General features: G+C 64.3%; 1 protein-coding gene across 3 annotated transcripts in view, besides 3 other annotated features; it reads right to left on the minus strand.

Annotated features, from left to right (window-relative positions):
• SBNO2 (strawberry notch homolog 2) overlaps positions 1-12049 on the minus strand; it is a 66631-nt gene that overhangs the window by 39872 nt on the left and 14710 nt on the right. For all 3 annotated transcript variants that reach the window (XM_011527804.4, NM_014963.3, XM_047438467.1), the window contains exons 2-3: positions 6675-6893; positions 1860-1933 (exon numbers count right to left, since the gene is read on the minus strand). In XM_011527804.4, the coding sequence (XP_011526106.1) occupies positions 1860-1933; positions 6675-6767 (167 nt within the window). In that variant the 5' untranslated portion in view covers positions 6768-6893. The remainder of the gene's footprint in view (positions 1-1859; positions 1934-6674; positions 6894-12049) is intronic.
• Positions 219-373: a silencer, noted in NCBI's record as "fragment chr19:1147727-1147881 (GRCh37/hg19 assembly coordinates)". NCBI's record gives its function as "represses an EF-1alpha promoter that drives an FKBP-Casp9 reporter gene in an ReSE screen in K562 erythroleukemia cells {active_cell/tissue: K562}" and the evidence as "EXISTENCE:reporter gene assay evidence [ECO:0000049][PMID:32094911]".
• Positions 219-1121: a biological region, named in NCBI's record as "H3K27ac-H3K4me1 hESC enhancer GRCh37_chr19:1147791-1148629".
• Positions 283-1121: an enhancer, noted in NCBI's record as "H3K27ac-H3K4me1 hESC enhancer chr19:1147791-1148629 (GRCh37/hg19 assembly coordinates)". NCBI's record gives its function as "activates a minimal SCP1, AML or CMV promoter by ChIP-STARR-seq in primed H9 embryonic stem cells {active_cell/tissue: H9 hESC(primed)}" and the evidence as "EXISTENCE:reporter gene assay evidence [ECO:0000049][PMID:30033119]".

Here is a 12049-nt window from a genome sequence, read left to right on the forward strand (position 1 = left end):
GGCCCCTCGAGGCCCCACTGGAGTGTGCCCAGCCCGGCAGGACCCATGGCCCCGCTGCACATACAGAGGGGCCTCCAGGGGGGTGGTGGTCAAGCCTGGGGCTGCCCTCCCACCCCCACTGGACACAGCCCGGCAGAGCTCCTACGGAACAGCCGCCTGGTGGGCGGGGGGACATCCAGGGCCACCATCCCGCCCTCCCCGCTCCATCAGCAGGACTCGGCTAAGGGTTCATTCTGGCGATTCAGAACCCCAGCCTGGCCATCCCTCCCCCACACACAGGCCCCTTGACCCACACCTCACTCCCGCCTCGAAGGAGGAGAGCGCTACGGGCAGAAACCCAGGATCACCGTCCTCCAGGGAGGGCTCAGGTCGGAACCCCCCGCCCTGTCACCCTGAGGATGGCAAAGGACACAGCAAGGAGAAGGTCCTGGGGGCCCCCCGCCCAGGGGCGCCTCTCTCCAGATGATCCCAGGAGTAAAATGTGGCTGGCAGGGAGGCTTCTCTGCCCTTCCCCACTCCGGCCCCCTTGGCCAGCTCCTGCGCTTGGGAGAGGGGTGGCCGCCGTCCCCAGGGCCTCCTTCCCTCCCGCCAGGCTCCCCAGGCTCTCCCTCCAGAAGCTTCTCTCCAGCAGGGCTGGCAGCAGGTCCAGGTCTCTGCCCAGTGGGAGCCGGAGGCCTTGGGTTGGAGGCGGCCCTGGGCAGACCTGCTCCCAGGGCAGGGACCGCCTGGGGGCCACTCTCCTCCTGCATAGAAAGGTTTGCAAACACCAGCAGGAAAGAAGCATCCACTCCACTCCCGGGCCACAAACAGCTGCTCCACAATCTCCTGGAGTCTCCCAAGGCTCTGGCTATACCTGCTCCCAAGCCCTTTGCACAGCCTGCTCGACTGCTCGCCTGGCCAACTCCTACCCCCCCTGCAGAACCCAGCCCAGCTGCTGCCCTCTGTGGGAAAAGTGCCCTTCCCACCCTCCTTCACCCACCCCAGAAAACCTCCCGCCCCTTCCCACCCTCCTTCACCCCAGAAAACCTCCCGCCCCTTCCCACCCTCCTTCACCCCAGAAAACCTCCCGCCCCTTCCCACCCTCCTTCACCCCAGAAAACCTCCCGCCCCTTCCCACCCTCCTTCACCCCAGAAAACCTCCCGCCCCTTCCCACCCTCCTTCACCCCAGAAAACCTCCCGCCCCTTCCCATCCTCCTTCACCCCAGAAAACCTCCCGCCCCTTCCCACCCTCCTTCACCCCAGAAAACCTCCCGCCCCTTCCCACCCTCCTTCACCCCAGAAAACCTCCCGCCCCTTCCCACCCTCCTTCACCCCAGAAAACCTCCCGCCCCTTCCCACCCTCCTTCACCCCAGAAAACCTCCCGCCCCTTCCCACCCTCCTTCACCCCAGAAAACCTCCCGCCCCTTCCCACCCTCCTTCACCCCAGAAAACCTCCCGCCCCTTCCCACCCTCCTTCACCCCAGAAAACCTCCCGCCCCTTCCCACCCTCCTTCACCCCAGAAAACCTCCCGCCCCTTCCCACCCTCCTTCACCCCAGAAAACCTCCCGCCCCTTCCCATCCTGGTGTCACCTCCACAGGAGGCCCCCCTGGCCCATAGCCCACACCTCCCCGCCCTCTACCAAGCTGGGCTCTCGAGGAGAGGGAAGCCATGGATCACAAAACAGCGTTCCACAAACAGGGGTCTCAGCCTGGACCTGGCCCGTGGGGTGGAGCCTTCCAGGACCACGTGCACACCACCCTCCAAACCCCTCAACAAGACTTTGGGCCCTCGCGCCCTGCACCCAGAACTCCGTTTGTAACTGTGACTTCAGAATGAGCAAGCCTGGGGGCCAGGCGGGGAGGGTCCCGGTACTCACCGGCTGTCGCTGGAGAAGGCAGGGTATGGCGGCAGCGAGAAGGTGTTCCAGTAGGGGCAGTGCAGCATGGCGCTCTAGAAGAGACAGCGGGCATCAGTGAGTGGGAAGCAGAGGACCTGCGGTGCAGCCCGGCTAAGCCCTCCGGGCAGGGTGACAGGCCGAGAGGCTAGGGAGGCCCCGCAGTCAGGGTCCCATCCCGCCCCTGCTGGTATCTCCTGGGGAGTCATTTAACTGCCCCGTGCCTCAGTTTCCCCACCTGCACAAGACCCCACCCAAGGCTTGTGGTGTGGTCTGAAGGCACTGAACCACCCGCGTGAAGGGCTCAGCACAGGTCTTGCTCTACCAGCAGCCCCATGTGCAGGCCCGCAGCCCGGGAGTCTGCATCTCACACAAGACCTGGGGGTGCCGCTGGCCCCGGGACCCTGCTTGGAGGCCCCATTCTAGGAGGTGGAGGATCGGACCGTTTGCGTGAGGGAGACGCGCACCCGCTGCCTGTGGTGGAGGGTGGGTGTCGGGGGCTCCTCGGGCAGGGCCTGGGGCAGGCGAGGGCCTCACACCACCTCCAGGCCCCTCGGACAAGCTGATGTGCCCGGGAAGCTCAGGCTGCTGCGGGACGGGGCCCTGACTTCTCAGAAGCTGCACGGGGCTGGGGTGCGGGGAGCCTGCTTTGGGAAATGGTGACCAGTGGCCTGGAGGCTCAGCCCGAGGTCAGTGGAGGCGTGAGTGGCTCCAGGTTGGCCGAATCTCTGGTGGGTCTGACTCCAGGCCAGGCTTACCCAACACCCTCGCCAGGAGCCGATGTCCCCACCCCATGGTTCTCTGGGAAAACCTCACTATGCCTGCCCTTGGGAATGAGAGCGGCTTGAGGCACACGGCAGGCCCCAAAACCTGAGGATGGGGAGCACACGGGGCAGCAGCGGGCCCAAGGGCGGCAGCGGGCCCAGGGTCAGCACCTGCGGCTTCGGGGGCAGGGCTGTGGACACCTCGTGCCCTGCAGAATGGGCACCCCTCAGCAGGGCCCCCACCTGCACAGGGCCAACCTCACCTGCAGCAGAGAGACCCTGCCGTCACAGACGCCCCCACAGTCACGGGGGAGACCCTGCCGTCACGGATGCCCCCACGGTCACGGGGGAGACCCTGCCGTCACGGACGCCCCCACGGTCACGGGGGAGACCCTGCCGTCACGGACGCCCCCGTGGTCATGGGGGAGACACCACCAGCCGGGGGCATCATCCTGCTTATCCCAGCAGGACTGGGGGCCACGCTGGCTTCCAGAACAGGGTTGGGGGTTCGCCTGCTTCCCTGAGTCCCCCAGTGACCTCTCCCAGGCCCACGTGAGCCCTGCTCCTCTATGAGGCCCTGATGCAATTCCCTGGGGCTCGGCCACCTCTGCCCCTCATTCACCTCACACTGGCTGGGAACCAGCCCGGATGGCCGGGGGCCACTTTCTGTACCCGCAGGTGCTGGGTGGGGGATTCCAGGACCCCCGACAGCCTCGAGATAGGCAAAGCCCTCGGGGTGACCGCTGCCCCGCTCCTCCAGCTTTTGCATAAAATAAGTTTATCAGCAAAAGCCCACAGCTCCTCCCCTGCACAGAGGCCGGCAGCCTGGGCACCCTGAGCTCCTGCACCCGTGAGAAGACCCCGTGCAAGTGGCTTGCAGGAAGCCGGGCCACCAGCCACAGGGGCTCCAGAGCCCGGGTCTCCTGATCCTTCCCCTCCTCCTGCCCTTTTGGGAAGAGAGAAAGCCAGCCCTGGAGAGAAACAGGAACTTCCCAAGGCCATGTGGCACATCCGGAACATTCTGGAACAGAACTCTGACTCCAGACCAACCCAGCCTCCTCAGATGAGCTGGAGTCCGTCTCAGGCACACACGGCGCCTTGGGCCAGGCTGGGCAGGGCCACGGCCAGGGAACTGCAGCTGCAGGAAGGGGGCGGGGGGCTTGGGGTCGCAGGGCGGGAGGATCCAGGGGTCCCTGGCTCACCCAACATGCTCCACCTGTACCCAGGCCAGGCTAGGGGATGGGACGGGGGGAAAGTCCTGACTGCCTCTATCCCCCTAGTCTCCTCCCTCCCACAGCCCATGGCTCCTCTGAGACCTGCCATCCACACACACCCGAGTCCCACCCCACAGGGGTGCCATGGGCATGGCAGGCCAATCAGAGTCTTCCCTGGGACCTTCTCTGGCAGCCAGAGGGTGTGGCTTCACCTTTAGATGGCAGGTCCTAGCACATAATTGGTCCAGAGATGGGCACCTGACCCTGCCCAGACAATCAGAGCCTGCCTGGTGATTTTCTTTCCTTTCCTTATTTTGAGACGGAGTCTCACTCTGTCACCCAGGCTGAAGTGCAGTGGCACGATCGTGGCTCACTGCAACCTCCACCTCCCGAGTTCAAGCGATTCTCCTGTCTCAGCCTCATGCGTAGCTGGGATTACAGGCGCCCGCCACCACGCCCAGCTAACTTTTGTATTTTTAGTAGAGATGGGATTTCATCATGTTGGCCAGGCCGGTCTCGAACTCCTGACCCCAAGCAATGTGCCCACCTCGGCCTCCCAGAGTGCTGGGATTTCAGGCGTGAACCATTGTGCTGGCCGGTGTATTTTTATTTCTAATTGAATACTCTGGGCACTGGAAGAGGCTGGGCTGTGCGTGTGCGAACTCAGTCGACCCTGCCCAGAGGTGTCCATGACGTACCCGAATGTGACGGAACCCGGAACAGGGAGGGTGGGATGAGCCTCACACACGGGATGGGGAGCAAAGCCGGTTACGCGCACGGGTGCGCCCCGGCCTGAGCCCTGTGGCTGGTGTCCAGTGCCCCCGCCGGGTTCCAGCCCTGTCGCATTCCCCGACTGTCACTGCTAACACCTTCCTGCTCCCGCTCGGATCCTTGAAGATGGCTCCTCTGTCTCCACATCCCATAATTCGCTTAATTATTTCCCCACCGTAGAGCCTCTGGGGAGATTCCAGTTTCCTGCCACTATAAATAGTGCCGCTCTGTCTTCCCCTCCCTCCTGGATTAGTCCCCAGGGTGTGTTTCCGAGATAGAATTCTTGGATCGGAACAAGCTCCTGGCGGGTTTCGGGGGATGGAGCTGTTCCGGTGGGGATGTGGCTTGGCCAGTCCCCTTTATGGTGGCCCAGGAGGCTGACCGACGGCCGGTACTCGAGCTCCACCGGGGCAGCTGTGAGGATCCAGCCTCAACCCCAAGGGACTCAGGAACTAGGGAGGGGGACAGGAGGGGTCTGGGCCGCAACAGGGACCCTGCTACGAGAGGGGTACCCTGGCCCCAGCTCAGAGCCCCCTCTGGACGGTCAGAACATGGCAGGAAGCTGCCCAAAGCCCTCTGAGGATGGACTGCCGAGGGGTGTCTGTGATGTTCGCCCCACAGGCCAACCTGGGTGTTGGGCTAGGGAGTACCCAGGAGACCCTGGAGTCCTGGAGCAGGTCCTGCTGCTTGATAGGAGAGGGCAGCCCCTCTGTCTCCAGGTAAATCCCCAGGCAGGGCCGGGCGCGGTGGCTCACGCCTGTAATCCCAGCACTTTGGGAGGTCAAGGCAGGCGGGTCAACTGAGCCCGGGAGTTTGAGACCAGCGTGTCCAACGGGGCAAAACCTCATCTCTACGAGAAAATTTTAAAAATCTGCCGGGCATGGTGGCGCGTACCTGTGGTCCCAGCTACTCAGGAGGCTGAGGCAGGAGAATCACTAGCCCAGGAGGCAGAGGCTGCAGTGAGCCGAGATCGCACCACTGCACTTCCAGCCTGGGCAACAGAGTGAAACCGTGTTTTAAAAATAACAAAACAAAATAAAATAAAATGAAATAAAATAAAAATAAATATATATATACACGTTTATATATTTTTAATTTAAAAATTTTTTTTTTTCTTTTTGAGCCACAGTTTCGCTCTGTCACCCAGGCTGGAGTGCAGTGGTGCAATCTCTGCTCACTGCAGCCTCTGCCTCCCAGGTTCAAGCGATTCTCCTGCCTCAGCCTCCCAAGTAGCTGGGATTACAGACACCTGCCACCACGCCAGGCTAATTTTTTGTATTTTTAGTAGAGACAGGGTTTCACCATGTTGGCCAGGCTGGTCTCAAACTCCTGACCTCAAGTGATCTGCCCGCCTTGGCCTCTGAAAGTGCTAGGATTACAGGCGTGAGCCACCGTGCCAGGCCTATTTTTCATTTTTTTGAGATGGAGTCTCACTCTTGTCGCCCAGGCTAGAGTTCAGTGGCGCCGTCTCCACTCACTGCAGCCTCTGCCTCCTAGATTTAAGCAATTCTCCTGCCTCAGCCTCCCGAGTAGCTGGGATTACAGGCGTCCGCCACCACGCCTGGCTAAGTTTGGTATCTTTAGCAGAAGCGAGGTTTCACTATGTTGGCCAGGCTGGTCTTGAACTCGGGACCTCAGGTGATCTGCCCACCTCCACCTCCCAAAGTGCTGGGATTACAAGCACGAGCCACTTGGCCAGAAACATATTTTTTAAGTAATTCCCTCACTGACAGGTTCCTACAAGTAAAGTTGAGCCCCCCCTACAGCTGACGGCGAAGGAACTGGAAGCTCTGCAGCAGGGAGAATCTCCTCAAATGTGCTTCTTGAAAAGCTGGGGCCATGAGTAGCCTCCCATTCACATCCCCATGGGGACCCTTCTCCAGGGCCCACGGGGGCGGGTGGAGCCGGGCTCCGGGCCAGGAAGGTCAGGTGGAGATCACGCCGCGTCCACTGGGGCAGCATTCCGCACGACGTGACCCCGGGCACTCGGAGCGGGGCAAGTGCCCGTGGACCCCGTCGGGTGGGCCGGGGCCGGGGGTGGGGCTCACCTGCAGGGGCGGCGGGCTGTACAGGAGGCTGCCCGCCGGCGGGGGTTCATGCTGCGGGTAATCCCTGTCCATGGCGGGCCCCACTGCAAGCATCGGGCGGCAGGCGGGGTGGGGTCCTCGGCCGGGCAGCAGGCGGCGGGACTCCAGGACCCGGGGCCGCCGGGGCGTCTATCTGGGCTTCTCGCTCCGTGGTGGCGGCGGTGGCGGCAGCATCATGATCTGCAGAGGGAGACGGGGACGTCCTGAGAGTCCAACGGTGGTGGAGAGTGGTGCTCCCCGGCCGCCTCTCCCTCGGGCATGACCGGTCCCAGCCTGGGCTGCAGCTCCTGCTACCTCCTGGGCCGGAACCAAAAGGCGCTCCTTCCCCTCCCCACTCACCCCCACCCGCCATCAGCAGTGCCACCCAACTCCTTTGTGCTGCCCACAGCGCCTTTCCTGGCCTCCCCGGCCCCAACTACAACGATTAAGGTGGGCCCGACAGGGCTGCCCAGGTCACAGGGCAGCCGTAGGACCAGGCACCCAGACTGTGAGCAGTGGAGCTGCAGGCTGACTCCCCCACATCTGGCTTTGTCAGCAGCCGGTGTGAGACTGTGGAGGGAGAGTCCAACCCGGGCCCGGCACCCAGGGGAGCCCAGGGGACACTGGACCCAGCCCTGTCCCTCAGAGGCAGCAGGGGCTCCACAGTGAGGTCTCCCAAGGAGGGGGGTCAGGGGCCACGCAGAGCTGGAAGAGCACCCAGACCTCGTTTCAGGCTAATCACACACCAGCATCCCCACTGAGAACGTTCCTGGGCTACAGAGCCGAGCCCCACACCATCAGACGCCAGGGACAGCTCCCACGTGCCCCGCGGCCTCTGGCACACGGCCAGACGCCCGCCAGGCTGAGCCCCCACCAGGCCCTACCTGGCGAGTGCAGGGACCCAGGCTGGCCCGTGGTGGCAGGGAAAGCTTTCCAGGCGTCCGCCCAGCATGCTCACTGCCGAGGGCGGCAGGAAGGGGAGGCGGCGGCCACTCCCGGCCAAGCCCTGGAGTGAAGAAATCTCCGGGACTTCCAGTAATTGCCGTCCAGCCACACGCAGGCACTTGTGCAATCCCGTGGGGGAGAGGCACGTCTCTGCCCGGCGCTCCAGAGACAGTGGCCGGGCAACAGGGGCTGGGGGTCGGGACTCCTGTCCCAGAGACCAGATGGAGGTGGTCAGGCACAGTGGGGGTCACCCTGCCAGGCCGTCCCAACTGTCCGCGGCCTCTGCCTGCTCCCTGCAGTCAGGACGCTACAACCCACTGCCACCAGAGCTGGGACCCTTGGCAGCCCTTCCAGCTGCCCACGGGGACCTGCGACACCCTTGCCAGAACGGCCCTTTAGGGGAAGGGACAGGCCCGCTGGGATCTGGGGTCTTGGCCAATCCTTGTCAAAGATTCTGGGTCAGGCAGGATCAAAGCCTGGCTCCACCTTCTGAGTTGAATAACCTCAGACACCCAAGCTCCTCCAAGCCTCGGTATGTTCCTCTGGGAGACAGGTTCTCTGGGTAGAGCCTGGGACCCCCCGACCCCGGCCCCGTGTGCTGGTGGCCACAAACAGCTCTGCTGGGCCCAAGGCAGCTGCTGATACCGGGGTCCCCATCCAGGGGCCCACCAGTGCTAGGGGGTGGCCCACCCCCTGCCTTGGGGCTCAGCAGCCCCTCCCCTGCAGGGACTCCCCTCAGCTCCTGTCAGCACCCCTTCCTGCTGCAGGTTCCATCTCACGGCAGCCACAGCCCCAGAGCTACGCTGACCTTTTCCACACTCAGGGCGCTCCTCAGCTCTGAGGCCACACAGTCCTGAGCTGATGGGCAGCAGGGCCCAGGCCCCACGGTGGACGGAGCTTGGGGAGGGGGCACCTTGGGCAGCTCTGGGGCGACCCCATGACCGTCCTCGGGGTACACCATAGCTGAGGGACCCCTCCAGCAGCAGGGGCCCTGAGCTCGCCTGTGTCCGAGTCCCCTAGGCCAGCACGGTGCTCCTGGCAGCTCCTCCCTCCCTACGGTCTCTGAGCCCCCCACGTCTGTGGACGCCCCTTCCAGGCGGCAACCCCAGGAGGCTCAGGGGACCGGGTTCTTCAAGGGGAGGGCTTCACACATGGCATGTGACCTGGAGTCCATGCCTTGGGGACCTGGCAGGGTGTGGAGACCTGGACCGGGAGGGGATGGGGGCAGGAGAACAATGCGGACACCAGGCACAACCAACCAAGAGTCAGGGCCCAAAACCAGGAGGCGGAGGCGGAGGCGGATCCTCACACACGGCTGCTTGGCAGTCTGGGATTCCTCAAGAGGCTAACGCTGGAGTCACCACACCACCGAGCAATTCCACACCACACAGAAACGTGGCCATGCACGTCCACAGCAGCACCACTCACAACAGCCACCCGAGGAAGCAGCCCAGTGTCCACGGATAGGCGAGTGGACCAGCATGTGGCGTGGCCCATCCACGTGCCAGAACACGACACAGCCATGAACAGCAGCGAGGCCGACCTAGGCCACAGCGCAGACGCACCTTGAGGACGTCACGCTCTGTGAGAGACGCCAGGCACAGATGTGTGTGATCCCACTACTATGCACTGTCCAGGACGGGCCCATCCAGAGACAGAAGGGGATGCGTGGGTGCCGGGCTGGGGCGACCCTGCACCCGGGGCCCATTTCCAAGTCCCCCCACAACCCAACACTTCAGGCTGTGCCCACTCCTGAGAACGCCCACCCTCTGCAATCCCCCAGGACCCGCCACTCCTGAGAACGCCCACCCTCTGCAATCCCTCAGGACCCACAGCCCTGCCTTTCCGCCCACTGCCAGCCCCCCATCGCCTCCCACCCTGTCCTCGGCCATATCTCACAACCCCTGCTGCCCCGATCCCCAGGCCCTCCCGCAGCCCCCAGCCCCTAGCCCTGCCTGCAGACTCGGTCCTGTCCGAGGGCCCACGCCCCCAAGGGCTGGCTCCCACCCCATGGTCCTGAGCCCTCCGGACCCTTCCCCCATTGACTCCGCCGCCGTTTCTTGCAGCAGCTGTGACCACGCCATGTCTCTGGGGCATCCAGCTGCCCCAATCCCCAGGATAAACCCTAGTGGGACACTGGGTGGGGTCTTGGGGCCTGAGAACACCCCAACGCAGCCTCTGCCACGCAGCCCCGGAGACGCTCTCCCCACGCGGCCCCGGAGACCCTCTGCCACGCAGCCCCGGAGACGCTCTCCCCACGCGGCCCCGGAGACCCTCTCCCCACGCGGCCCCGGTGACACGGCCCACCCCGAGCCTCAGAGCCACGGGCCAGCCAAACGTCCAGCGGGCAGCAGAGCGTGTCCCCTGCCTGGTTTTATTTTTGGGCGCGAGTCCCATGACTGGAGGGATGCGTGGTGTGGGGGTTGGGGGGGCGGGGGTCACACGGTTCCCACCTTGGGAGGGGGCCCGCGCTTTATCAGCACGCTGACACCCAGAGGGGATGTGGCTTCCTTCTGAAATCAGGTCTTCAAGGGAGTCGTTGTAAAAGAGAACGATGAAGGTGCTGGTGGCCCAGACAGGACAACCACTGGGAAGGCAGAACCTCAGACAGGACCAAGATCCGGGAGAATCCGAGGAACCGGGTAACTGTGTCCGCCTCCCAGCTCTCTCCTGAGTCCGGGTAACTGCGTCCGCCTCCCAGCTCTCTCTCTTGAGTCCGGGTAACTGCATCTGCCTCCCAGCTCTCTCTCCTGAGTCCGGATAACTGTCCGCCTCCCAGCTCTCTCCTGAGTCCGGATAACTGTCCGCCTCCCAGCTCTCTCCTGAGTCCGGATAACTGTCCGCCTCCCAGCTCTCTCCTGAGTCTGGGTAACTGCATCTGCCTCCCGTCTCTCTCTCCTGAGTCCGGGTAACTGCGGCCGCCTCCCGCCTCTTTCTTCTGAGCCTGCTGAAGTCCCCGTCTTCCTGGCTGGACGCCCCAGGGTCTCACCCCACGCTGTGCAGCAACAGCTCAGCCTCCTGATGTTCAGAACTGGCCACTGTGCGGACCCTCCCCCTGGGGGTCCCTGAGCACCTGTCGTGTGGAGCCCCTTCGCGCGCTCCGCCCTCAGACCCGAGCCGTCTGCAGATGGGGAGCTGTGTCCTCGGAGCCCGGTTCTCCTGCCGTCCTCTCGCCGAGCAGGGTTGTGACCCCCGCACTTTCGGATGTGGACACGGAGGCCCCTAGGTGGAGCCTTGACGTGACCCCCAGAGCCAGACTCAGCAGCTCAGGCCACGCTGTGCCCACGTTCGCGACGGCAAAGCGGAGACCCTGAGAAGACACTGGCCGCAGAGCCATAACCGAGACCACGGGAGGACCCAGGGCGCACGGCACACCCCAGAGCGCTCCGCCCAGGCCCGGGTTCTGGTCTCCTGGCACACCCGGCAGCATCTCAAGGCCTGCGCCAGCAAAGGCGGACATGGAGGTCTGAGGAGGAGGCGGCGAGGCCCGGGCGAGCGGGCGCGACCGTGGTGATGGAGCCCGGCAGAGGCCACCGCACAGTCCCTGGAGGCCGCATTACCTCAGCCGAGGTTCTCCGGGCAGGCACAAGGCGCTCCCTGCGTCCCAGGACCTGAAGATGGCAAGGAGCAGGCCCCCGGGTGTCCCGGGAACCCCGCACAGAGCCACGGCCATAAGACAGAGCGGACTTGCGGCCTCCGGTGACCTCACAGCCGTGATGGCCTCCTGCAGCTGTGACCGCCGCCCCACAGCCGCGACCCCACCTGCAGCCGTGACCCCACCTGCAGCCGCGACCCCACCTGCAGCCGTGACCCCACTTGCAGCTGCAACCGCCGCCCCACGGCCGTGACCCCACCTGCACCCGCGACCCCACCTGCAGCCATGACCCCACCTGCAGCCATGACCCCACCTGCGGCTGCAACCGCCGCCCCACAGCCGTGACCCCACCTGCAGCTATGACCACCGCACACTGGCCTCCAGATGGGCTCAAGACAGGGCAATCACCCTCTACCTGGCGGGCGCACAACTCGCATCCTAGGACCGGGTGCAGGGGGCGGGGGCTGGCGATTTCACAAGGCTCAGCTAATATGGGGCAGAGAGCCCTGCAAGCTCAGGCACCTGGGCAGGCCCCAACTCGGCCGCCAGGACCGTCTGGTGGGGAGGACACTGCAGGCCGTCTCAGGTCCTGACCCCTGCAGACAGAGCGCTTCGTCCCTCAACATGGAGCCCGGGGCAAGGGAGGCCTGAAGGGCTGGAGCCAAGGGAGGGTCAGCCCAGTGAGAGACCTTGGGGGGACGGGGGTAGCAAGAGGGGGTAGCAAGGGACAGTTGGGGACAGCAGGGGACAGTGGGGGGACAGGGGGCAGCAGGGGACAGTTGGGGACAGCAGGGGACAGTGGGGGGACAGCAGGGGA

Source organism: Homo sapiens, chromosome 19 (genome assembly GCF_000001405.40).
Source record: "Homo sapiens chromosome 19, GRCh38.p14 Primary Assembly".
Lineage (NCBI taxonomy): Eukaryota > Metazoa > Chordata > Mammalia > Primates > Hominidae > Homo > Homo sapiens.